At 50.9% G+C, this 24,976-nt stretch overlaps 1 protein-coding gene and 1 non-coding gene across 5 annotated transcripts in view, besides 4 other annotated features; both read left to right on the top strand.

The window, feature by feature from the left end:
• PADI3 (peptidyl arginine deiminase 3) overlaps positions 1-24,976 on the top strand; it is a 35,136-nt gene that overhangs the window by 5,936 nt on the left and 4,224 nt on the right. Inside the window, exons 1-13 of one of the 4 annotated variants that reach the window (XM_011541571.3) lie at positions 2,213-3,965; positions 4,545-4,725; positions 7,100-7,172; positions 10,626-10,687; positions 11,686-11,803; positions 12,804-12,929; positions 15,200-15,378; positions 15,846-15,949; positions 16,034-16,145; positions 18,307-18,414; positions 19,602-19,753; positions 21,486-21,630; positions 21,741-21,843. In XM_011541571.3, coding sequence (XP_011539873.1) covers positions 4,567-4,725; positions 7,100-7,172; positions 10,626-10,687; positions 11,686-11,803; positions 12,804-12,929; positions 15,200-15,378; positions 15,846-15,949; positions 16,034-16,145; positions 18,307-18,414; positions 19,602-19,753; positions 21,486-21,630; positions 21,741-21,843 — 1,441 coding nt within the window. In that variant the 5' untranslated portion in view covers positions 2,213-3,965; positions 4,545-4,566. Of the gene's footprint in view, positions 1-2,212; positions 3,966-4,544; positions 4,726-7,099; positions 7,173-10,625; positions 10,688-11,033; positions 11,264-11,685; positions 11,804-12,803; positions 12,930-15,199; positions 15,379-15,845; positions 15,950-16,033; positions 16,146-18,306; positions 18,415-19,601; positions 19,754-21,485; positions 21,631-21,740; positions 21,844-24,976 lie in introns of those variants that run through there. The other 3 variants (NM_016233.2, XM_011541572.3, XM_017001463.2) reach the window with 3 other exon arrangements.
• Positions 4,001-4,502: an enhancer, noted in NCBI's record as "H3K4me1 hESC enhancer chr1:17585529-17586030 (GRCh37/hg19 assembly coordinates)". NCBI's record gives its function as "activates a minimal SCP1, AML or CMV promoter by ChIP-STARR-seq in naive H9 embryonic stem cells {active_cell/tissue: H9 hESC(naive)}" and the evidence as "EXISTENCE:reporter gene assay evidence [ECO:0000049][PMID:30033119]".
• Positions 4,503-5,002: an enhancer, noted in NCBI's record as "H3K4me1 hESC enhancer chr1:17586031-17586530 (GRCh37/hg19 assembly coordinates)". NCBI's record gives its function as "activates a minimal SCP1, AML or CMV promoter by ChIP-STARR-seq in naive H9 embryonic stem cells {active_cell/tissue: H9 hESC(naive)}" and the evidence as "EXISTENCE:reporter gene assay evidence [ECO:0000049][PMID:30033119]".
• Positions 15,664-15,907: a silencer, noted in NCBI's record as "fragment chr1:17597192-17597435 (GRCh37/hg19 assembly coordinates)". NCBI's record gives its function as "represses an EF-1alpha promoter that drives an FKBP-Casp9 reporter gene in an ReSE screen in K562 erythroleukemia cells {active_cell/tissue: K562}" and the evidence as "EXISTENCE:reporter gene assay evidence [ECO:0000049][PMID:32094911]".
• Positions 18,964-19,465: an enhancer, noted in NCBI's record as "NANOG hESC enhancer chr1:17600492-17600993 (GRCh37/hg19 assembly coordinates)". NCBI's record gives its function as "activates a minimal SCP1, AML or CMV promoter by ChIP-STARR-seq in naive H9 embryonic stem cells {active_cell/tissue: H9 hESC(naive)}" and the evidence as "EXISTENCE:reporter gene assay evidence [ECO:0000049][PMID:30033119]".
• On the top strand, positions 22,856-22,942 carry MIR3972 (microRNA 3972). The gene has a single exon (NR_039768.1). It is a non-coding gene; the product is annotated as a microRNA 3972 (primary transcript).

Raw genomic sequence — 24,976 nt, forward strand, 5'->3', positions numbered from 1 at the left:
CTAAGACAACCTACTCTAAGCCGTGATTCTCAGATGTCAGCAAATATCAGAATGGCTTAAAATGCGGTTCCAAGGCCCCACCTGGAGCACTTCTAAGAATCTGCATTTTCAATAAGGTGGGTCTGAGGTTGGCTACTTTTAGGGAGGCCAACTGTTCCTGTTTGTCTGGGACCTTGCAGGTTTTAGCACAGCAAATTCTGTATCCAGGAACAGCCTTAGTCCCAGCAAACTGATGCTGTTGGCCACCCTACCACATTTTACCCCCAACTCACCATCTTAGGCTGGCTGTGCCAGAGGAGCAGTTGAGTTCTCCGGCTGGCTTGGGGGGTGTGGGGCTGGGAGAGCCCTGGACAGGCCTGTGCATGGAAGCCTCAGCGGCGAGGGTCCAAGGCCCTGAGCCCAGGACTGGACCAGAAGCACTGCCTAGAAAGCCCAGAAGCCAGCATGTGACAGCTCAGCCATGCTGGCAGCTCGAGGTGGCCTGGAGAGGAAGGACTTTGTCCAGGTGAGGCTCCAGGTACTTCCCCTGTTCTCTAGGAAATGGGAAGCTAGATCCTCCCGTACCTGATGCAGGTTCTCCTCCCAGCAGCTGCCCCTCTCATTCTCCTAACACACAGCTTTCATGACAGGCATGAGCACTGGACTGGAAGTCAGCAGCCCTACCTTCTAGTCACTTATCTTCTGGGCCTCAGTTTCCCCATCAGTGAAATGAGGGCATGACTTTTGCTCATCCTGAGTGCTTTACCCACACTGGTTCCTTTCATCTTCTCCTCATCCCCACCAGATAGATGTCGATGCTGCGGCTGAGGGAGGCAGTCACTCGCTCAAAGTCACACACCTAATGAGTGGTGGGACTGGGATTTGAACCCAGTTGTCTGGCCCCAGGGACCACAGGCTCAAGTACCTTGCCACGGCTCCATCATGTTGCCCCTCCTGATCAAGAACCAGCGCTGGCTCCCCATTACATAGGGATGAAATGAAAACAAGCTCATTATAGCCTGAGTCTAAACTAGACCTCTTAAGGTTCCACGGTGAAAACACCTTCCCCTCACTTGTGTCTCCTCTTGGTGCCTTCCCTGGGGAACCTGCCCCAGCCACCCAGCCCACTGTCTCATCCTGCCTCCAGACCCGTTTCCTGCACCCTCATTTACTTTAATAACTCCTTCCCTGTCCTGGGCCAATGGTGTTGCAAGCCTTTCCTGTCTATTATCACACTTGAGTTTCATGATTGCCCATGAGGTTGGCCAAGTAGGTGTCATTATCCCACTTTAAGGTGAGGTTAATGGGCCCAGAGAGACTAAGTGATTTAGTCAAGCTCAGCTGGCCGATGTGTGACCCAGCCTGGTCTAAAACCTAATTCTTGACTCTGGTCCCAGCACCACCTGAGCCCTCGGCTTGCAGCCCCTCCCTTCCCCAACCTCAGATGTAGCTTGTTCACCTGTGCTAAGCCCTTGTTCAGACCGTGGTCCTGGGGACCCTCCTGGGCAGGGGTGCTTCAGTCTTCACTGGGGATCCCCCAGCATCTCACACAGAGCCTGGCACATGGAGAGGCAGGGGCGCTGGGCTGAAACACCCTACACCCAGGGGCTGGAGCCTGGGGACTGAGTGGGGTTTTCATACCAGAAGGACCATCAAGGGCGCTCAGCCCTTGCCCATGGACACTGGAGGCCCAAGGAACAGCTTTGGGGTTGAGGGAGTTCCATAAAAAGTGTACAGGCTTCAGCCAGGCGCGGTGGCTCGCGCCTGTAATCCCAGCTGGGAGGCTGAGGCAGGCGGATCACTTGAGGTCAGGAGTTCAAGACCAGTCTGGCCAATATGGTGAAACCCTGTTTCTACTGAAAATACAAAAATTAGCCGGACACGGTGGTGGGCTGTGTTGTCCCAGCTGCTTGGGAGGCTGAGGCATGAGAATTGCTTGAACCCGGGAGGTGGAGGTTGCAGTGAGCCAAGATTGCACCACTGCACTCCAGCCTGGGCGACAGAGCAAGACTCTGTCTCAAAAAAAAAAAAAAAAAAAAAAAAAAAAGGCTTCCTTGGGAGATGGAAGGCGAGTGCCTCAGGAGCGTGGCTGAGGGTGTTCCCGAGGGTATGAGAGGCTGCTCTTCCTACCTGGGTTTGTCTTCCTGTGTCTCTTTCCGACTCCCTGTCTCTGACTCTCCATCTCGCTGGGTCTCTCCAAGTCTCTCTGTCCCTATCTCTCTGTCTCTGTGTCTTCATGCCTCTCTCCCTGGTTCTGCCATTTCCCCTGTGGGGGGCTGCCCAGGGCCAAACAGGCCAGAGGGCTCCACCAGCCCTGGAAATTACAGGCTTTGGGAGTAGGGTTGCCAGATAAAATAAAAGATGCCTAGTTAAAATTGAATTTCAGGTAAATAATTAATAATTTTTTTAGTATAAGTGTATCCCAAATACTTCACGGGAGTACCAAACAATGATTGACTGTTCACTTGAAATTCAAGTCCAACTGAGCTTTCTGTATTTTTATTTGCTAAGTCTGGCAGCCCTGCTTAGGAGGAGAAACAGGTGTGTCTGTCCCTCCCAACTGGTGAGGACACCTGACAGGGGCCCAGACACCAGAGTGGGACCTGCCTGATGGAGAGAAGCTTGGGCTTGGTTTATTTCCCTTTTCATAAAAAAGCTGCTTTGAGATGTAAGAGAATCATGTTGGTGGAAGAGTGAAGAGGTTGTTTTGGGGGAGGTCTGCCTTACTCTGAGGGAAGATGGGAAGCGGGGGGAGTGGCCAGCTGTGGAAATTTGGGGTAGTCCCCTACGTATCCTGTGCCTCAGTTTCCCCATGTGTAAACAGGAGTAATTATCTCATCCTGGGGCTGCAGTGAGGATCAGATGAGCTAATGTACAAAAAGGCTTAGGCAGGCCTGCCGTGATAAGAGTGCAGAGGCTGGGGGCTTTTTATGTTATGGTATTGTTGTTATTATTACTCCTGGGGAGGTGGTGGGCAAGAGTGTGGACTGAGGAGCCACATGGCTGGGTTTGGATCCCAGCCCGGCCACAGACCTTGGGCAAGTTACTTAACCTCGGCTTTCTCATCTGTATAATGGGAGACAATAATAGATAGTGCCTCCCTTCTAGGGTTATTGAGAGGATTGCATGATGGGCTGGCACACAGCATGAGCTCAGTAAGTGTCAGTCACTGTTATCCCCCAGGGGCATGCATGCCGCTGCCTCCAGGAGGCCCTCCAACTCGCAGTGGCCTCTCCCTACATGGGTTCCCACTGAGCTGTGATCCTGTGGCCTTGAGCCCCATCTGGCTGCCCTGGACAATGTTGGTCCTCAGCTCCCCAGCGGGATCAACAGTGGGGAGAGCAGTGGGTGGATCTGCCCGCCAGGCAGTACCTGAGTGCACAGTGGGCACCCCACAGTCAAAGGATGCATAGTCTGGTTTCCAAGGAGGAACCCCAGGCTAGGTGGAATGAGGGAAATGCAATCTCAGGGCCAGATAACATCACAGATACTTTAAACCTGCAATTAATTTCTGGTTGTTTGACCAAATCCGGCCAAGTTTCCCGGGTGACACTGCAGAGCTGTGGAACAGCATGGGCTTGGAGTCAGACCTGTTGCACATCTGGCTCTGCCATGTGATGCAACCTCAGGCTTGTCACGAGGCCTCCTTGAGCCTCAGTTGCTAATATGCCAAATGGGGATGATATTGCTCACCTTACAGCTTGTAAGAGTGGAGGGAGCTGCGTGCGCCAGGTGCCTGGCATGCAGCGGGCACTCAACCAGATTGAATTCCCTTCCCAGGGAAGAATTCAAGGATATCTTCCCACCCACTAAGGAGACATGTGATGGGATCTGGGGTGAGAATTGCTCTTTTTAAAGCTCTCAGAACTGTAAGGGGCTCCACCCACCAATGGCTGGTGTTCACTGAGCTCTTCGTGCCCAGACCTGCACTGGGGATTTATCGAGCACATGGCTGGCTTCTGACTTCCGAAGAGCTCGCCATTCTGGTGAGTGGTAAAGAAACTCACAAGGGAAATGTTAATGAACACAGGGGCTTAGAACATCAGACTGTGTGTATGTTTTTTTGTTTTGTTTTGAAACAGGGTCTTGCTCTGTCGCCCAGGCTGGAGTGCAGTGGTGCAATCTTGGCTCACTGCAACCTCTGCCTCCTGGGTTCAAGCGATTCTCCTGCCTCAGCCTCCCCAGTAGCTGGGATTACAGGCATATGCTACCACGCCTGGCTATTTTCTTGTATTTTTAGTAGAGACAGGGTTTCACCATGTTGGCCAGGCTCGACCTCAAGTGATCCGCCCGCCTCGGCTTCCCAAAGTGCCTGACCTCAAGTGATCCATCCGCCTCGGCTTCCCAAAGTGCTGGGATTAAAGGAGTGAGTCACCACGCCCGGCCGACTGTGTATATGTTTGTGTGGGGTCCAGGCTTGACTCGCAGGAGCTTACTGTGAGGATCTGAGGGGACTGGGTGGCCAAGGAAAGCTTCCTGGAGGAAGCAGGGCTTGAGCCAAAGCTCAAACATCTGAGCAAAATATATCTCCTTCGGCACCGACCATGGCTCTCTGCCCTGCCCAGGTCAGTGCCTGAGGGCACAGAAATGTTTGAGGTCTATGGGACGCCTGGCGTGGACATCTACATCTCTCCCAACATGGAGAGGGGCCGGGAGCGTGCAGACACCAGGCGGTGGCGCTTTGACGCGACTTTGGAGATCATCGTGGTCATGAACTCCCCCAGCAATGACCTCAACGACAGCCATGTGAGCTGGTCCCTGGTGGGGTGGGGAGAGGTTTCGAGGGAGGCAGCTGTCTAGCTCTAGGAGGGCCCAACATTCTCTTTCTCCAGAGCGCAGGGCAACACAGTGGGTAAGTGCCTGGCCTTGGAGCCATACTGCTGATTTTGAATCCCAGCTCTGCAAGTTACAGACACATACCATGTGTCCTTGGAAAGCCTTATCATCCCCTTGGGGCCTCTGTCTGCCATCTGTAAAATGGGATAATCATAACCCCTGTCTCCTATCATTGCTGTGGAGTGCCATAGGAGCCAGTGTTGCTCCTTCTCTTGCTTCCCAAGACCCCCTGGAGAAGGAGTTGTCCCAGTTCTGCTGAGTTGGGTCTCAGTTTCCCCACATGTAGGCTGAGGGTTGACTAGGGGATCTCTGCCACTTTGAATGAAAGAGAGAAAGCAGGGACAGGGGAGGGACACCGGTGCCTGGGAAGACCCCCTTCCTAGGTGACAGCATTTCCCCAAGGCGCTTTGCTGTCCGTAATCCACTCTCTTCCTGACCCTATTTGCAGGGTAGGGGACATTTAACACATGGGAGAAATGGGTGGCCTTTAAGCTTGGCACAGGTGATGTTTGCTTCGAGGGCTGATAGGGACCAGGACTTGGAGTGTGGGAGTAGTGGGATCCACTCCATGTCAGGAGCGATGTTTCAGAAACTGGCCCTTTAAGGAGCACTGACCACGTGCCAGGTACTGGGCAGCCATGACCTCATCCAGCCCTCACAGCAGCCCAGAGAGGTGGGGGACTGATGCCCATTTCGCAGATGGGGCAACTGAGGTTCAGAGTAACTGTCCCGGGACCGCACACTAATGGTCAGGAGAGCTAGAATTCAGTGCAGACCCCTGGGGGCAGTCTCCCTCCATCACCCCCACCTCTGTTCCCAGCCATGCATCCATGAGGCACTTGGGGCAGGACCCAATGAACCCATTTAATAGGCAAGAAAACTAAGAAGGAGAAGGGGTGGCTTTCCTGAAGTCACATGATCTAGCGAGCGGCAGAGCTGGTGAGAGTCAGGACAGAGTCCCAGGGGTAGTGCAAGAGGACTGGCCAGCCTGTGAGGGGCCCCACCTTGGTGCCGGTTGAAGTGGCGATGGTGTGGGTACCCCCACCTTGAATTCCTTGGCCATGATGGCTGGTGGGATGGAGGAAGTTCAGAGTCTCTCCCACTCTTTCCCTCACCCGCCATATACCCCTGCTCCCTATCCTGCCTTTGGCCAGGATCCCAGTAATTGTATGTTTGAGGCAAGCATCACTGCTGGTGATTGACACATGGAGGTCAGTAATTGCAGGATTTAGGGGCTCCCAGGACTACAGAGGTGAGTGGCCCCTGCAAGATCCTCCCCTCTGGCTGAGATTCGGACATGAGAAGCAGAGAGTTGAGACACCCATGTCAGGAGGGAATACCCCAAGGGGAGGGTCATGCTTTAAAGGGAACTTGGATGCCTTGGATTCATCTGCCTCCAACTAAATATCATCCACGCCATCTTCATCCTCACCCTGTAACAGTTCTTGAGTGCTCGCTGTGGGCCGGGCACCGAGCTGCATGTGCCCCATACATGACTCCTTTCATCTTCACAGCCTCTAATTAGTCCTAAGGGGTAGGAACTATTATTATCCCCACTTTACAGTTGAGGAAATTGAGGCCCAGAGAAGATCAGTAACTTTTCCTGGGATATTCAAAAGTGGGGGATTCAGAATCTGGGCCCAGGCCATCTGACCTCAGAGCCCTGCATTTAACCAGCCCCCACCCCACAAGATGCCACCTGCCCACTGATAACAGTAGCTAGTATTTCTTGGGCACTTCCTATGGGCTCAGTCTTTTACATGTATTGTTTCCAAGCTGCATTACAAGCCTCTGAGGTAGAGACCTATAGAGGTAGAGGCCTTTTCCCATTTTGCAGAGGAGAAAACTGAGGTGGCTCAGGTAGGTGAGAGGCCTTGGCCAAGGTCATAGAGTACCCAGAGGTGCCGGGCTCAAGCCCGGGCCTGTCTGAGTCCCACAGACAAGAATGTTGGCTTGGAGAGTGTCCCCAAACCCTGCCCAGCCCAAACCCTTTATTTTACAAATGGCAAAACTGAGACCCAAAGGGGAGCAAGAGCTTGTCAAAAATCACAGAGTAGGTTATTGGAGGGACTGGGACCCAAGTCTCTTGAGAAGCTCTCACAAATAGCTCCCATTTTACAGATATGCCAACCAAGACACAGAAAAATAAATGGCACAGAGGAGGTTAAAGAAAGAGCAAGGTTCCTTGGGCCCCCTCCCCTCCTTACCAGATCCCCGAGAGCTATCTTTTGGGGCGGGAGCTCTTGGCTTCTGCTGGTATTACTCTGCGCCCAACTCTCCACAGGTTCAGATTTCCTACCACTCCAGCCATGAGCCTCTGCCCCTGGCCTATGCGGTGCTCTACCTCACCTGTGTTGGTAAGTTGGGGGCCATGTTGATGGTGTGGCCAAGGGCACATTTGAAAAATTCAAGCAGTACAAAAGAGTATACGTTGAAAATTAAACCTCCTTCCCTCCAACTCAAGACTTCTAGTTCCCCAAACCCAGCATTTTTCTAGAGATACGCTGTGCTTATATATGAAAGCACATACATACCTGTATATCCCCCCTCTTTTGTAAGCAAATTGAAGCATACTATAGACATGGAACTGGACCTTGCTTTTGCCAGCTTAAAGTTTTTCTGCTAAGCCTCCACAAATGGATACATAAACTCCGTGCAAGATGGCTCAGATGTTGGAGCTATCAGACAGGGCATGCAAAGTAATAGTGATTAATATGTTAAGGGTTCTAGTGGAAAAGGTAGACAATATGTATGAACAGATGGGGAATTTCAACAGAGAAGAAAATCAATAAGAAAGAGTCAAATGGAAATGCTAGACATAAAAACCATAGTAATAAGAGATTTTAAAAATGCTTTTGAAGGTTTCACCAGTAGACTTGACACAGCTGAGGAAAGAATCAGTGAACTTGAAGATAAGTGAATAAAAGTTACCCAAACTGAAACCCAAAGAGAAAAAAGAATAAAACAAACAAATGAAAAAACATAACAGATCTAAGAGCTCTGTGACAGTATCAAACAGTCTAAATTCAATGAAATTCCTATAGAAATTCCAACGTGGCTTTTTTGTTTGTTTGTTTGTTTGTTTTAAGGAGTTTTGCTCTTGTTGCCCAGGCTGGAGTGCAATGGCACAATCTCAGCTCACCGCAACCTCCGCCTCCTGGGTTCAAACGATTCTCCTACCTCAGCCTCCTGAGTAGCTGCAATTACAGACACATGCCTCCACGCCCAGCTACTTTTGTATTTTTAGTAGAGACAGGGTTTCTCCATGTTGGCCAGGCTGGTCTTGAACTCCTGACCTCAGATGATCTGCCTGCCTCGGCATCCCAAAGTGCTGGGATTACAGGCATGAGCCACTGTGCCCAGCCCCAACATGGCTTTTTAATATAACTTTACAGAGCTGATCCTAAAATTTGTATGGAAAAGCAAAGGTCAAGAATAGCTAAGACAATTTTGATGAAGAATAAGGTTGAGGGATTCACAATTCCAAATATCAAGACTTTTTTTTCAAGCTATAGTACTTGAGGCATTGTGAAATTGGTATAGAGCAATAGAGCAAATAGAGAACCCATAGACAGACCCATGCTTGTGTGGTTATCATGTGGCAATAAATGAACTTGGAGCCCTACCTCACACCATACTCAAAAATAAACTTCAAGTCAGTTAAAAATCTTAAGGTGAAAATCAAAATTGTAAAGCTTTTAGAAAAGAATATCTTTGTACCCTCAAAATAGTAAAGATTTTCTTTAACAAGGCAAAACAAAAGTGCAAAGACCATAAGGGGAAAGATTGCTAAATTAGACTGTATTAAAATTAAAAATTTATATGCAACAGACAACAAGTAAAAAGTCAAACTGTGAACTAGGAGAAGAAATCTGCAATGCATACGGCTGACTTGGTGCATATAGAATATGAAGAACTCCAATCAATAAGAAAAGGACAAAAATAATAGAAATGGGCAAAAACATGAATAAACAATTCACAGAAGAGAAAGTCCCAGTGATCAAAACCCAAATTAAAAGATGCCTAAATGAGCATTGCCAAGGTTGTGGAGCTGGGAAACTCCTTACAAAGGAGTGGGTGGGAGTTTGCTTTGGCTCACACACTTGAGAAGCAATTAGCAAAGAAGTTGAAAATGCTTTATCTGTAGGAGGCATTTTTTAGAAGCAGAACTTCTAGGTTATAGAGAATCTATATTTTTTAACTTGATAGATATTGCCAAACTGCTCTCCAAAAACACTGTATCAGTATACATGTCTGCCAACTGCATATATGCTTTGCCAACACTGCATTAGCAACTTTTTCCCTTTTTGCCAATCAGTTGGCATTGCACTGTGGTTTTACTTTGCCTTTCTTTAGTTAGGAGTGAGGTTGGGCATTCCCCATCTGCAGCCCAAATACATACACACATGATCATTGGAAAATAACATAGACAGAAAAGTACATAAAGCTTTATTTTACATACATATGTGCATAAAGCATATGTACACACACACACACACACACACACACACACACGAATAATTACAAAGCAAATCAAAGAATAGCTCAGAAAATAAACCCAAGAGTAGCCCAAGAAATGAAACACTACCAGAACCCCAAAGTCCCCCTCAATGTCCGTCTCTGATCATAACTCCCTCCTTCTCCTACAGGTAACCACTATCTTGTGATAAGTATTTTCTTGCTTCTCCTCATGGTTTTATCTCTTGAACGCAATACCCAAATAACATGGTCTCATTTTATCATCTGATTTTCTGTGGATGCAGTCATATCATGTATGTTCTTTTGCGTTGGGCGTCTTTTGCCCTATGCTATGTTTGTGAGATTTATCCACTTGTTGCATGGTGGTTGAGTATCTTTTCACATGTTTAAAAATCATTTCAGGCCACGCGTGGTGGCTCATGCTTGTAATCCCAGCACTTTGGGAGGCTGGGGTGGGTGGATCACTTGAGCCCAGTAGTTCAAGACCAGCCTAGGCAACATGGTGAAATCCTGCCTCTATGAAAGATACAAAAATTAGTTGGGCATGGTGGCATGCACCAGTAGTCCCAGCCTCAGGAGGCTGAAGTGGGAGGATTACTTGAGCCCAGGAGGCAGAGGTTGCAGTGAGCCATGATCATGCCACTGCACTCCAGCCTGGGCGACAGAGACCCTGTCTTGTCTCAAAAAAAAAAAAAAATCCTATCTAATGTATTCTTTCTTCTCTCCCTCCCTGCCCCTCACTGCTTCTTCTTTAAGAACTAAGAAGACTGCTTTTTTTTCAGAGCAGAAAGATTGATTCTGACCTCCTGAATGCTCCATTTGCATTATGAAATCTCACCCAGTGTCTAGGGCTAAATGTTAAGAAGGTGGGATGGGGGTGGGATTTGGGGACTGCGAGTAGCTCAGAAAGGACACACAGCCAGGAGGCGGCAGAACCTGGGTTTGTGTTCACATCTGTTTGACACCAAAGTCCAGGCTTGCTACCCCATTCCAAGGAGATGAGGCAGCTTTATATAGACAAGAATGTTCCTGGAGACCTGGGCTCAGTTCAGGGCATGCCTGGGACTGCAAGGGCTGCAGGGATGCAGATAGGAAGTGGTCAGGGAAGTCTCCCTAGAGGGGGCAGCATTTGTCCTGGGCCTTTGCTGTGACCCTGCTTCTTGCCTCAGGCCTCTTTCCCCAGCCCAGAGGGTGCAGATGCCCTCACCTCTTGGATGGTGTCTCCTTAGAAATGACTTGCCTTTGCTCAGCCCCAGACAAGCCCTGAGATCAAGGCCTGCCCTGGGCTCCTGGGAACCTTGTAGTGACTTACCCTCTGCCTCCTCTTGCAGACATCTCTCTGGATTGCGACCTGAACTGTGAGGGAAGGCAGGACAGGAACTTTGTAGACAAGGTAAGCATCTCTGCCTGGGCCCAGGAAGCAGGAGTGCAGTTGGAGCTTGCTCTAGGTTGGGTTAAGAAGGATGAGGCCATTACAGATATCCCCCTGCCTCCCAGCTGATGCCGAGACCAAGGGCCAAAAACAGAAACCAGGCATGGCTGGGGATCTTCTTTCACCAGGAGAAAAATCATCGCCAGGAATTATCAGGCATGGAGGTACCCAGCCCTGAGCTAGGCCTTGGTTTGTGGGATCAAGACCTTCTGGACTCATAAACTAGGTCAGGAGTGGGCAAACTTTTTCCGTGAAAAGTCACATAGCAAGTATTTTAGGCTTTGTGGGACATATGGTCTCAATTCTGCCACTATAGTGTGAAAGCAGCCACAGTTAATACAGAAATGGATGGATGTGACTGTGTGCTAATAAAACTTTATTTATACAAACAGGCAGTAGGCCAGATTTGGCCCACAGTTCATAATGTGCTGATCCTGACCTAGGCGAGAAGAGAAACCAAATATGAAACTGTTGAAGAACTTGGGACTGAATTATGTTGGAACTTGGTGCCCTGGGAGTTAAGAGGAGAAGGTCGAGGTGGGCTGGGTGGGTGAGGAAGGCTTCCTGGAGGGACGTACCCTTGAGCTGAGCTCTGAAGGGGTGCAGGAGGGAGGACGTTCCAGGTGCAGGGAATGGCAGGAGCAAAACCAAGGAGGGTTTAATGGAGGAATGAGCACAGAGTGAGGCGTGTGGTCCTATAATCAGGTTGCCTATTGAGAAAGAGGATGTTGGCTGAAGGCCCATCACAGATAGCCATGAAAGACAGCTCTGTGCTTTGGACTGGATGGTGTGGGCAACAGAGAGCCATTGCCATTGACATGTCTTGAGAAGGAGGTGCTTCGAGAACGTGGACCTAGCCTCACAGGGTTGGGTGGTTACAGGCCAGGCTCGGGTTCCTGGGTAGGGAGGCACAGGTCTCATCTGAGCCCTCATCACTGGCTATGTTTTGTCATTGGCAGCGGCAGTGGGTCTGGGGGCCCAGTGGGTATGGCGGCATCTTGCTGGTGAACTGTGACCGTGATGATCCGAGCTGTGATGTCCAGGACAATTGTGACCAGCACGTGCACTGCCTGCAAGGTGAGGCCGGGGCAGCCTGAGTCCCTGGGTGTCCAGGGTCACTGCTCAGTTACCCCATGGGAGTTCCAACCCACAGGCGAGACTCTGAGGCCAGAGTCCAGGGGAGAGCGCCAGCCTCCAGACACACCTCGATGCTCCTCAAAACCCATCTCAGGCTGGCAGCTGCCCCTCCCTAGTGTCTCTAGGGCCAGTGAGCACTCACATGCCAGGGCAGAAGCTCTGGAAATGAGCCACCTCGCCATTCTCTTCCTCCAGGGGAGCAGAGGATGCTAGCATTATTTGAGCACCTACTGTGTGCCAGGCCTTTTCCCCAAATTCTCATTGAATCATCCAAGTGGGACAATATCATCACCCCAATTTAGAGATGAGGATGCTGAGACTCAGAAGCCAGGAGACTCCCTGAAGACTGTGTCTGATCTGGGGCCTCCCCTCTCAACCCCAAATCTGGGCCTCCTCCTTCAGCACCTCTGGCCTACATTTCTGTGACTCCCCCACCTCTTGCTAAGTCCATCTGTCCTGAATTCCAGCCCCATGGAGAATGAGCTGCAATATTCCAGGGTATGCTAGGTGCTGTCCACGGGAGATGCCCACGGTTGCCTTCTGAAGTGGGCACCATTGGACATGGGGATGCTGGGGCTCCAGAAGGGAGGGGCTTGTCCAGGGTCACAGGGAGTGATGCTGGGATGGAGGCCAGAACCCTTACCTGCACGACGCCCACATGGCCTTACCCTCCTTGCTTCTCTGGAGCACCTGTTGTGTGTCAGACACCAGCTGGCTATGCCACACTTCATGTTTCTCTGGGCAATTGAGGAAACATGAGTCCAGGAGAGCATAGATGTCTTCATGGTTTGTTCTTGATGGCTTCCAGGGTTTTCACAAAGCTAGGGCTGGGAGACCCAGGTCTTGATACCCACTGACCTGGGGAGGGAGCTGGGCAGCAGAGGAAGGGGCCAGGGGCCAGGACTCCCTTGAGTCACTACCACTCTGTCTGGCTTCACAGACCTGGAAGACATGTCTGTCATGGTCCTGCGGACGCAGGGCCCTGCAGCCCTCTTTGATGACCACAAACTTGTCCTCCATACCTCCAGCTATGATGCCAAACGGGCACAGGTCTTCCACATCTGCGGTGAGTTTGTGCCACTGCCCCTTGCCATCTGTGCCCTGTTGCCAGGTTGCCTACCAGGGAACCTCCTGTTCCTGCCTTGGGCCATGGGCAGGTCCTGCTTACACTCCGGGAGATGCCCTGGTGGGTGGCGGGTCGCAGTAAGAACAGTCAGAAGTGGGGGCTTTGGAACTGATGAACTGGTGCCCCCAGCACAACACCTGGCCTGAGGTCATTTTATTTGATGAATGACCTTTTCAAATACATTTTAAGCATGTGTAGAAATTCTTATCAAAAATTTCAAACATACACAAAAAGCAGTGCTGTGAATCCCCATGTGCCTGTCACTCAGATTAAACAATTATCACTGTTTTGTCTGTCTCGCTGAAGTTTTGTAAAACCAACCCCAAACACCATAGATTTCACCCAATTAATTCAGTTTGTATTCCCCCCAAATATAGATGGCTGTTGTTTTACATAGTCTGCCAAAATCACAAGAAATACAAGTAAAAATCTAAATGCCTTTGAGAAACTAAAAATGTATACAAGTAATAAGATGCTTTTTTTTTTTTTTTTTTTTTTTTTTTGAGACAGAGTCTCGCTCTGTTGCTCAGGCTGGAGTACAGTGGCGTGACCTCGGGTCACTGCAACCTCCACCTCCTGGGTTCTGGCGATTCTCCTGCCTCAGCCTCCCAAGTAGCTGTGACTGCAGGCATGTGCCACCACACCCAGCTAATTTTTTGTATTTTTAGTAGAGACAGGGTTTCATTGTCTTAGCCAGGATGGTCTCAATCTCCTGACCTTGTGATCTGCCCGCCTCGGCCTCCCAAAGTGCTGGGATTATAGGCGTGAGCCACCGTGCCTGGCCGCTTATTTTTTAAATAATCAGACAATATGGAAGTATAGAAAATGAAACCTGAGAGTTCTCTACCCGTCTCTAAATCTGACTTTTTTTTTTTTTTTTTGAGTCAAGGTCTTGCTCTGTTGCCCGGGCTGGAGTGCAGTGGCATGATCTCAGCTCACTGCAGCCTCCACCTTTCAGGCTCAAGCAATCCTTCCACCTTAGCCTCACGAGTAGCTGGGACTACAGGCATGTACCACCACACCCTGCTAATTTTTTTTTTTTTGTAAAGACAGGGTTTCACCATGCTGCCCAGGCTGGTCGTGAACTCCTGGGCTCAAGCAATCCACCCGCTTTGGCCTCTCAAAGTACTAGGATTATAGGCGTGAGACGCCGCACCTGGCCTGAATCTGATTGTCACTGTTAACGAGTTGGGATGTGTGCTTCCCAACTTTATTCTACATGTTCTCCAGCGTGTGTCCATATGCTGCTTTCCAACCGGCTTCTTTCATTAAGTAATAATCCCACACACCTTTTCTGGTATTTATTGAGCTCTACTTCATTCTTTTCCACTGCTGTATAATATTCCTAAGCATAGAGGTGCTGTGACTTACACAGTTCTCTGAACATCATAGTGGTTTGCAGTGTTTTGATTTTATAACAATGCAGGTTGCTTGAGGTCAGGGGCTTTGTTCAAGTCCAGAACCGTGCCCCATGGGTGCACTGTAGTTGCACAGTAAATATTTGATGAATTAATGAATATCGAGCACTCTTGTACAGAAATATTATGTGACTTTGTACCTATTATTGTTTGTTTGTTGTTGTTGTTTTGTTTTTTGTTGGTTTTGGTTTTTTTTGAGATGGATTCTCGCTCCATGCCCAGGCTGGAGTGCAGTGGTGTGATCTTGGCTCACTGCAACCTCCGCCTCCTGGGTTCAAGCAATCCTCCTGCCTAAGCCTCCTGAGTAGCTGGGATTATAGGTGTGCACCACCACCGCCCGGCTAATTTTTGTATTTTTAGTAGAGACAGGGTTTCACTATGTTAGCCAGGCTGGTCTTGAACTCCTAACTTCAGGTGATCCACCGCCTTCGGTCTCCCAAAGTGCTGTGATTACAGACATGAGCCACCGTGCCCAGCCTGTAGATGTATTTTTGTAGGAAAGATACCTAGCAGTGGAATTGCTGGGCTTGGGGTAAACATTACTTTGTTGGATGCTGCCAAATTGTGCTCCAAAAAGGTATGAGCGCCAGTCTTAGAAAGGAAGACCCTTTCCCCCAGCCGTGGCCCCCACTGTGTATTACCTGTCCTCTCCTTTGCCAGTGGAGGTGAAAGGAGGGAGTTGTTGGAGGACTTGGAATTTTTGGTGAGGCTGCAGACCTCTTCCTGTGTCCCTCATACTCATGCTCCCTGGGCCCACAGGGAGTCACAGCCACCCCGTCCCTCCCCTTCCAGGTCCTGAGGATGTGTGTGAGGCCTATAGGCATGTGCTGGGCCAAGATAAGGTGTCCTATGAGGTACCCCGCTTGCATGGGGATGAGGAGCGCTTCTTCGTGGAAGGCCTGTCCTTCCCTGATGCCGGCTTCACAGGACTCATCTCCTTCCATGTCACTCTGCTGGACGACTCCAACGAGGTAGGGACAGAGGGGGTTCAAGAGGAGCTCCACTCGGGACCAGCCTGGGCAACATGGTGAAACCCCATCTCTACAAAAAAAAAAAAAATAGCGAGGTATAGTGGTGTACACCTATAGTCCCAGTTACTTGGGAGGCTGAGGTGGGAGGATCACCTGAACCCCAGGGAGGTTGAGGTTGCAGTGAGCCATGATCACCCCACTGCACTCCACAGCCTGGGCAACAAAGTAAGACCCTGTCTCCAAAAAATAATAATAATAAAGGGCAGTGGGGAGGACTCCATTCCTGGTAAGTCTACCAGGCACCACTGGTGTGAAAGACCCCAGACTTCTTGACCACCCCTCTGGTTCATTTCCATCTTGCAGAGAAGCAAGGGGTTTTCTTATGGACCACAGTGGTGGAATCAGAGTCCCCCCAGGCCTCTGGACTCCAAGTCCAGTGCTCTTTCTCCCCTGGTCTGCCCCTGCAGGATTTCTCGGCATCCCCTATCTTCACTGACACTGTGGTGTTCCGAGTGGCACCCTGGATCATGACGCCCAGCACTCTGCCACCCCTAGAGGTGTATGTGTGCCGGTGAGTCTTGGGGCAGTGGGTGGTCCCTCTGGCCCCCAGGCCCCGGCTCCATCCTGAGCCCCTCTTCCCTGGGCTTGTCCGTAGTGTGAGGAACAACACGTGTTTTGTGGATGCGGTGGCAGAGCTGGCCAGGAAGGCCGGCTGCAAGCTGACCATCTGCCCACAGGCCGAGAACCGCAACGACCGCTGGATCCAGGTAACCACAGCCACTGGGCAGGGCCCAGCAAGGACGCCATCCTGGAGAGAGAGGCCTTCATTTGGGGGCCACCGAGAAACATCCAGGAGGACCTGGGTGCTCCCCAGGGAACTTGCTGCCGTTTCTAATGTGAGACCTAGAGGCTTCTCTCCAGAACCTTCTGGAGACCCACGCTGATCCTGGATTCAACACCCATTCACCCACCGGATCTGGGCTAGGCACTAGGCTAGGCCCACAGGGGTGGCACAGGTGTGAGACACACACTCCCTGCCCTCAACAGCTGAGACCAGTGGTTCTCATCAAGAGGCGATGTGTCCCCAGGAGACGTTTTGCAGTATCTGCAGACAGTGCGCAGGACAAGCCCCCACAATAACATATCATCCAGTCCCACGCCTCAGTAGTGTCGAGGCTGAGAAACCTTGATGTGCAGAATGATTGCTACAAAAATACCTACTCCTACTATCTAGTGTGTAGCTGGGGCAACATGGTGAAACCCTGTCTCTGCAAAAAAGTTAAAAAATTAGCAGGGCATGGTGGCGTGTGTCTGTAGTCCCAGCTACTCTGGAGGCTGAGGTCAGAGGATCACCTGAGTTTAGGAAGGTCAAGGCTGCAGAGAGCTGTGATTGTGCCACTGCACTCCAGCCTCAGCAACAACAACAAAAAAAAAAAAAAAAAAAGAGAGAGAGAGAGAGAGAAAAAGAAATATCTAGGGTGCAGAGGCTATACCAGCAAAGCACCAGTAGGGTTTGGGGGATGCAGCATCACCTCTGCCCAGGGAATCAGTGAAGACCTCCAGGAGGGAGAGCATCTGAGCTGGACCAGATTTGGCAGATGAGGGCACATGACTTCTGCCATTTATGCCCCATTTTCTGCAGGCCAGGCATAGCATCATTTCATCTTCTTGATAACCCCCTGTAAGTCCCCCATAATTCAGGAGCTCTTAGGGGAGCATGACTGGGCCACAGAGCTGGTAAAGGCAGTGCTAGGACTCAGGCTGCCAAGCACCAGGCTGTACAGGTTGGTGGTCCTGGCAGAGACCGAGCATGCGCAAAGGCCCGGGGGTGGGAGGCAGGAGAGAGAACCTTGTGTGTTCTCCTCTGTCAGGGCACTGGTTCTGAGAAAGGCAAGGGTTGAGGTCGGAGACCTTGAATTCCAAGTTAAGGAGCTTTCCTCTTGGCCGGAGGTCAGTCCAGTGAGAGGGTTTGGGGCAGGACTCTGGGGCACGATGGGCTGGGTTTAGAGCCTGGCTGTGCCACCAACTAACTAGCTGTGAGCTTTGGGACAAATATTTTTTAATTTTTATTTATTTTTTTAAATTAATATATTTTGAATTTATTTTTCTTTTTGGAGACAGTGTCTCTCTGTCACCCTGGTTGGAGTGCCATGGCATGATCACAGCTCACTGGCAGCCTGGAACTCCTGGGTTCAAGTGATCCTTCTGCCTCAGTCTCCCGAGTAGCTGAGACCACAGGTGCAGCCACCAGGCTCAGCTAATTTTTTGTAGAGATGGGGTCTTGCCATGTTGCCCAGGGTTGTCTCAAACTCCTGGCCTCAAGCAATCCTCCCGCCTCACCCTCCCAAAGTGCTGGGATTATAGGTGTGAGCCACCGTGCCCGGACTGGATAAATAATTAGACCTCTTAGTTCCTCATTTTCCTCATCTGTCACATGGGATAATTATGGTGCCCACGCCCAGGCATGTCATGAGGATGAATGGAGTTAATGTTTATAAAGAGTTTAGGGCAGGACCTGGATGTGAAGTTCATTCACACTGGGCCATCTTTTCCTCCAGAACCAGAGGGGTCAGGACTGACCTGGGCACATTTATGGATCCAACTCAGGCCACTGTGAGTGCTTCTCTGTGTCCACCTGCCTTGGCCCAGTACTCACAGGGACACCCCCAAGGTCATGTCCATGTTCTCGTTCACCTCCGGCCTCTGTCTTGCTGTGTGACCTTAGACAAGTGCACCCCCTCCTTGAGCCTCCAGCCCCTCCTCCAGTCAGCAGGCACCCTGACCTCGGTCCTGTCCGCCTCCAAGCACAAAACATGCTTGGGCCAGGGGACTTGGTGAGCAGTCTGCCCCACAGGGCTCAGAGCCGAGCCAGCAGGGGCAGCTGTTGACTGTCACAGCTGTGCGTCTCTCGCCTCTCCTCACTTGCAGGATGAGATGGAGCTGGGCTACGTTCAGGCGCCGCACAAGACCCTCCCGGTGGTCTTTGACTCCCCAAGGAATGGGGAACTGCAGGATTTCCCTTACAAAAGAATCCTGGTGAGTGGTCCCGGCCGCAGCCCACCCCTGAGAGCTGAGAGGCCTTACCCCAGGGGCCACACCGGGGTGTGGGGTACAGAGGGCAGCAGTGGGAACCGTGCTCTTTAGGGATGAGGGTAGGGTTGCCAGATAAAATGCAGGGATGCCCAGTCAAATGTGAATTTCAGACAAGCAACAGGTTAACTTTTTGGTGTAAGTACGTCCCAAATATTGCATGGGATATACTTACACTAAAAAAGTTGTCGTTTATCTAAAATTCAAAGTTAATTGGGCATCCTGTATTTTTATTTACTGAATCTGGCAGCCCTAAATAGGGGAGGCAGGATGGTGCACCTGTTCAGAGCACAAGCTTTAGGGTCAGACCAACCCTGTTCCGTTACTTACATGCTGTGTGATGTTGCGTGAGTTACTACCGCTCTCTGAGCCTCAGTTTCCTCATCAGTAAAAATGACATTTTGGCCCTGGCCTCACAGGGGTTTGTGAAGCATCTCATCATCACAGTACCTGCATGGAGGGAGTGTGTGTGCGCGCACCACTATTAGCTAGTATCATTATTTTAAGAAAAAGGATAACAGGGAAGGTGATGATTGCTAACGAGGACCTCTTGAGAAAACAAGAGTGACTTGCCTGGTGCCGTAAAGAACAAGAGACCCCTCCAACCCCCTCACTGATCACACAGATGCTAGGAGCTCTCTCTCCTGACCCTTGATGTTGTCGAAGTTGCTTCTGAGAGATAGCCCTGGGGAGGTCTCCCCTTCTCTAGAGTTCAAAGACAGAGGCCCAGAGGGCCATCAGCAGCCTCTTGGTTCCCACAATTGGCCACTTGAGCTGCTACTTGCCCTTGGGCTGAACTTGCAGGAAGGCTGTGTAGGTAAGGGGATGGAGTGGCCATGGCCTCAGGCTCCATGTCCGATGGGGAGTGCAGGAGCAACCGGAGCGCCCCCTGCTGTCTTGCCGTGATAAGGCAGCAGGGCCAGAGAGTCCGAGCACTTCCCGACTTTGCCTGCTATGCGTGCATGAAATATTGACTGGGTCAGATCCCCCACCCACCGCCAATGACTCTGTATTTCCACCTGAAGAATGGATGGCCTTTCCCACCCTGTCTTGAAGGAGCTCAAAGCCCAGCAAGTTGGTTCAGGCCCTTCCTGGTACCCTCCACCCCCGCCTGACTTGGTTTCCCTCTCCAGGGTCCAGATTTTGGTTACGTGACTCGGGAACCACGCGACAGGTCTGTGAGTGGCCTGGACTCCTTTGGGAACCTGGAGGTCAGCCCTCCAGTGGTGGCCAATGGGAAAGAGTACCCCCTGGGGAGGATCCTCATTGGGGGCAACCTGCCTGGGTGAGAGAGAGACAGGGAATGGAGTTCCTGGGGTGGAGGCTGAGGGTTGGGGGTGGTGATGATGGTGGAGCAGGGGCCATTGCACTCCTTGAAGAGAGCCAGAAGCAAGGAATGATGAAATTATACTCCCGGATGTGCTGGGGTTGGTGGGTGTTCACCAGACACAGTCCACACTTACCTCGGGGACTCTGAAACCAGAGAGAGCAGAGACCTAAGAGATCATTCAGTCCAACACTTTCATTTTACAAGTGGGCCCAGAGAGGGTAAGTGAGTCACATAGAAAGCAAAGTTATAACTAGACTCAAGTTTTCTGATTCTGAAAATAAATAGATGATACTAGTAACAGTCAATTAATAGTAACAGAAGAAGAGTGGGCATGGTGGTTCATGCCGTAATCCCAGCACTTTGGGAGGCCAAGGCAGGCGGATCATGAGATCAGGAGATCGAGACCATCCTGGCTAACATGGTGAAACTCCGTCTCTACTAAAAAAAAAAAAAAAATTAGCCAGGCGTGGTGGCAGGCGCCTGTAGTCCCAGCTACTCAGGAGGCTGAGGCAGGAGAATGGCATGAACCCAGGAGGTGGAGCTTGCAGTGAGCTGAGATCATGCCACTGCACTCCAGCCTGGGCGACAGAGCGAGACTCCGTCTCAAAAAAAAAAAAAAAAAAAAAAAGTAACAAAGAAAAAGTTTCCATTCCCAACAGTCCTGGGAGAAAATGCATTTAGGTCAAAGCTTGTTCATACTACCATGTAAATGACTAATATAAGATCTTTTCCTGAGAGCAAGAGAAGTGAGGTACAAGACATGCTAAGTGAAATGACAATAACATACAGAGAGAGTAACAAATGATGTGTTGTTCAGTAGTGACACAGGGGTGCTGATGGAAAAGGAATCCTATCATATTGGTTACTTGCTGTGGACTAGACCAAGACATTGAGCTAACCAAATGCAACAAAGCTGTTAGAACAGACTTGGGATCAAATAATGAATGAATCCAGAGTCAAGCTTTGGAAGGGACTACTGCCCTCAAATACATAATCCCATTGAAAGAGGAAGCTGGACCATGCCCTTAGATACATTTTCGTAAAAATTGAACATGGGGGTGAAATCTGTCTCTTGGAGAATAAGAACCTGGTGTGAGGGTGGTTCTGAAGATTTTCCTGGATGGTGGGACCTGGTAGGTCATTGCCCTGGTGTGACTGACCTGTCCTGAGTCTGCCTCATGCAGAACTCACCCTAAGTGGAATTTTAAAATATACGTATCTGGCTGGGTGCAGTGGCTCATCCCTGTAATCCCAGCACTTTGTGAGGCTGAGGCGGGCAGATCACTTGAGGTCAGGAGTTCGAGACCAGCCTGGCCAACATGGTGAAACCCCATCTCTAGTAAAAATACAGAAAAATTAGCCTGGCCTGGTGGTGCACGCCTGTAATCCCAGTTGCTTGGGAGGCTGAGGCAGGAGAATCCCTTGAACCTGGGAGGCGGAAGTTGCAATGAGGCGAGATCACGCCACTGCACTCCAGCCTGAGTGACAGAGTGAGATTCCATCTCAAAAATAAATAAATAAATAAAATGAAATATACATATTTATTACTTTCCTGTTTATAAAAGTAATGCATGTTTTTTTGTTTTTTAAAAATCAGATATTGCAGGAATGCTAAACTCTTGTCATTTTATTTCTGCATGGAGTCTTTTTAGTTAAGCAACTTTTTTTTTAACCTCGTGGGTCCCAGGTCAAGTGGCCGCAGGGTCACCCAGGTGGTGCGGGACTTCCTCCATGCCCAGAAGGTGCAGCCCCCCGTGGAGCTCTTTGTGGACTGGTTGGCCGTGGGCCATGTGGATGAGTTTCTGAGCTTTGTCCCTGCCCCCGATGGGAAGGTAAGAACTTCGTGCATGACGTGTCTTTCCCTGGCATCTGGGGCAAGAACTGAGCTCCAGGGCGCCATGCCAAGGCAGGAGGCTCAGCTGAATCTGTTCTCTGCACGCAGGGCTTCCGGATGCTCCTGGCCAGCCCTGGGGCCTGCTTCAAGCTCTTCCAGGAAAAGCAGAAGTGTGGCCACGGGAGGGCCCTCCTGTTCCAGGGGGTTGTTGGTGGGTAACAGTGCCGTGTCCCTCCTTGCGGCTTGCCTGCCCCTTACCCAAATTAAGACACATCATGGCTTGAGAGGGGGAGGGCAAGTTTTAAAGCAGGGGTGTGTCCCCAAATTCAGGGCTTCTCACTCCTGCCCCTGCACACCTTGCTTCACCAGACACCACTGCCCACAGCTGGGGCCGAGCTGAGGTGGGAAGCGGGGTGATAGAAGGTGGACATGGACTGAGCGGGGACATAGTGGCTTCCCAGGCAGGTGACCAGTGCAGTCACGGCGTGGAGCTTTAATGTTCTGCAGTCACTATCCTGAAATCTCCCTTTTTTTTTTTTCCTTTTTGAGACGGAGTTTCACTCTTGTTGCCCAGGCTGGAGTGCAATGGCGTGATCTCCACTCACCGCAACCTCCGCCTCCCAAGTTCAAGCGATTCTCCTGCCTCAGCCTCCTGAGTAGCTGGGATTACAGGCATGCGCCACCACGCCCGGCTAATTTTGTGTTTTTAGTAGAGACGGGGGTTTCTCCATGTTGGTCAGGCTGGTCTCGAACTCCTGACCTCAGGTGATCAGCCCGCCTCGGCCTCTCAAAGTGCTGGGATTACAGGCGTGAGCCACCACACCTGGCTGCCCTGAAATCTTAATTCTGTTTTGTGAGGTCTGATGGATCAGTGGAGCATCTACGGGGCTTGGAGCCTCTGCTCAGGCACAGTCCTGTCTCCCAGCCTCCCTGCCTCCCTGGCACAGATTCTCTGCTGCCTACTTCTGTGCTCCCTGGAGCCTCAGTGCAAGGCCTCCCCCATCTCTGTCACTGTCCTGAGATGCTGCAGCACTCTGCCCCCAGCAGGAGCCTGGGCATGGGGAGGGCTGGGGTTGGGCACATGTGCCACTCAGCATCTTCATGGCATCAGTCGTCCCTGCCCTGCAAGGGCATTTGGTGGGCAACTTGGGAGGGGTAAGTGTCTCACCCAGGCTTGCTCAGGTACCCAGCACATACCCAGAGGCCACAATACTCTGGAGGTCGCCCATTTGCCTTGGCTTGGGGTGGCAGTCCTGTGGGAATGAGAGATGCCAAACTGGACCTGCCAGCCCCGTTCCAGGGCACAGCATGTGGGTCTCATAGCAGAGGCATGCCCAAGCACAGCCCCCTGGGAGCTAGGCCTCCGCTGTGAGGCCCACAGGGTGGGCCCTGACACCAGCAAGGGACTGTCCAGCCCCATGCAAGTCCCCGGCAAAGCGCAATGTGAAATAGCAAATAAAAACCACCCTGACAAGTCAGGAGAGAGACTCGGGGACAAAGAAACAACTTTATACTGTAGCACTTTTAATGGTACTCTTTTGTCTGCTCTTTAAACAAGGAGCTGGCATTTTCTTTTCTTCTTTTTTGAGACAGGGTCTATCAGCCAGGCTGGAGTGCAGTGACATGATCTCAGCTCACTGCAGCCTCGACCTCCCAGACTTAAGCGAGTCTCCCACCGCAGCCTTGCGAGTAGCTAGGACCACAGGCATGCACCACCACGCCTGGCTAATTTTTTGTATTTTTTGTAGAGATGGAGTCTCACCGTGTTGCCCAGGCTGGTCTTGAACTCCTGAGCTCAAGTGATCTGTCTGTCTTGGCCTCCCAAAGTATGGGATTACAGGTGTGAACTACTGTGTCTGGCCAGGGCCCACTTTTTTTTGTTTTGTTTTTTGTTTTGCACTGGAAGAATTTTGAGAGAGAGAGAGCTGGCTGGACTGGAGTCATCTGGCAAGCTTGCTGGAAGCGTTCTCAAATTCACTCCCTTTCCAGCCCCACTGAGACTGCATGAATCCCAGAGGATCCTCCCTTTCTCAGTGACCCCAGAGGTCCCAGGGCAAAGACCCTTTGACACGCAGGATCATAGATTTTCTTGGTCCCATGGCCTCAGGGAAGGCAGATAGCATCCTAGACCAAACACAGCTCAGAGAGAAAAAAAGCTCCTGTAGAACTTAGACGCCCCCAAGTATAATAATTTCCAAAGTCCCCTTGCTCTCTGTTTGCTAGCGTTAACTTCTTCCAACACAACCCTGGAGCCTTAGCAATAAAATGGAAGAGAAATAGTCTTTCTTGACCCTGTTGCTCCCAAACGCACCCTAACTAGACTCCGGTGAACCTAGAGTAAGTCTTAGAAATCCTTAAATCCAAATTATGTACCAGGCAGGGAGAAATGCCACCTTCATCTTTCCTGGGAGAACTTATGGTGAGCAAGACCCAGGAATGGGTTGAGCAGAGTTATTCCAACCTGCCCAGCTGGGAGGGAGCGTGGGAGAATTCACAGATGGCAGGCCACAAGCAGCCACCCCACCCTCGAGGGCTGACACTCAGGCAGTGACTGTGGCGATTAATTACATAGACACAGAGGCCAGACACAGAGGCCAGAGCACTGATTAGACACCTCAGTGCGCCAGGCCTCACGCTGTGTGCATCACACGTGTTATCTCATTTGATCTCACGAGAGATCAAATGGGATGACTCTCACCCACCTTTATTCCCAAGAATGTGAGGCTCAGAGAGGGGATGTCACTGGCCCAGAGGCCTCAGCAAGATTGCAGTGGAGCTGGGACTGGACCCCAGCTTCCTGCCTTAAACTGGGGTGAAGCGGGCGTTAGACCTGCAGATGGGTCAGGGGAGCCCTCTCCTTTCCCTTGGTCAAGGCTTGAGGCCCTGTGCGAGCCCTGGGCTTGGGTTTGAATCACAAGCCCCCACATATCCTACCTGTGTGACCTTTGGCAAGTCTTCTGACCTCTCTGAGCCTCAGTTTTCTCATCTGTAAAGTGGGGATCATAATGCATACCTTGTGGGGGTCACCGTGAGGGTTAAATGAGATGCTGAACCTGGGCACTCCCCTCGGGGCCTGCTCATGGTAAGCGCTTACTAAGTAGCAGCCATGAGGATTGTGTGCCATTGACTCTAGCCTCCGCTTCCCTGTCCAGTCTCATCTGCATGGGCACACCATCAGGCTGAGAAAATCTGGACCCCTGGGAGGTCCCCATTTCACGCAGTCACCCCCTGAAGGGCAGGATTGGGGCTGGATGGTGTCTGAATCCCAGGACTGGCTGGTTCGCTGCTCAGTGAACCTATAAAACCTGACTGATGGTGGGTGGGTGGGCAGCAACTGACCCAGC

The sequence above is a fragment of the Homo sapiens genome, chromosome 1, assembly GCF_000001405.40.
Source record: "Homo sapiens chromosome 1, GRCh38.p14 Primary Assembly".
Classification (NCBI taxonomy): domain Eukaryota; kingdom Metazoa; phylum Chordata; class Mammalia; order Primates; family Hominidae; genus Homo; species Homo sapiens.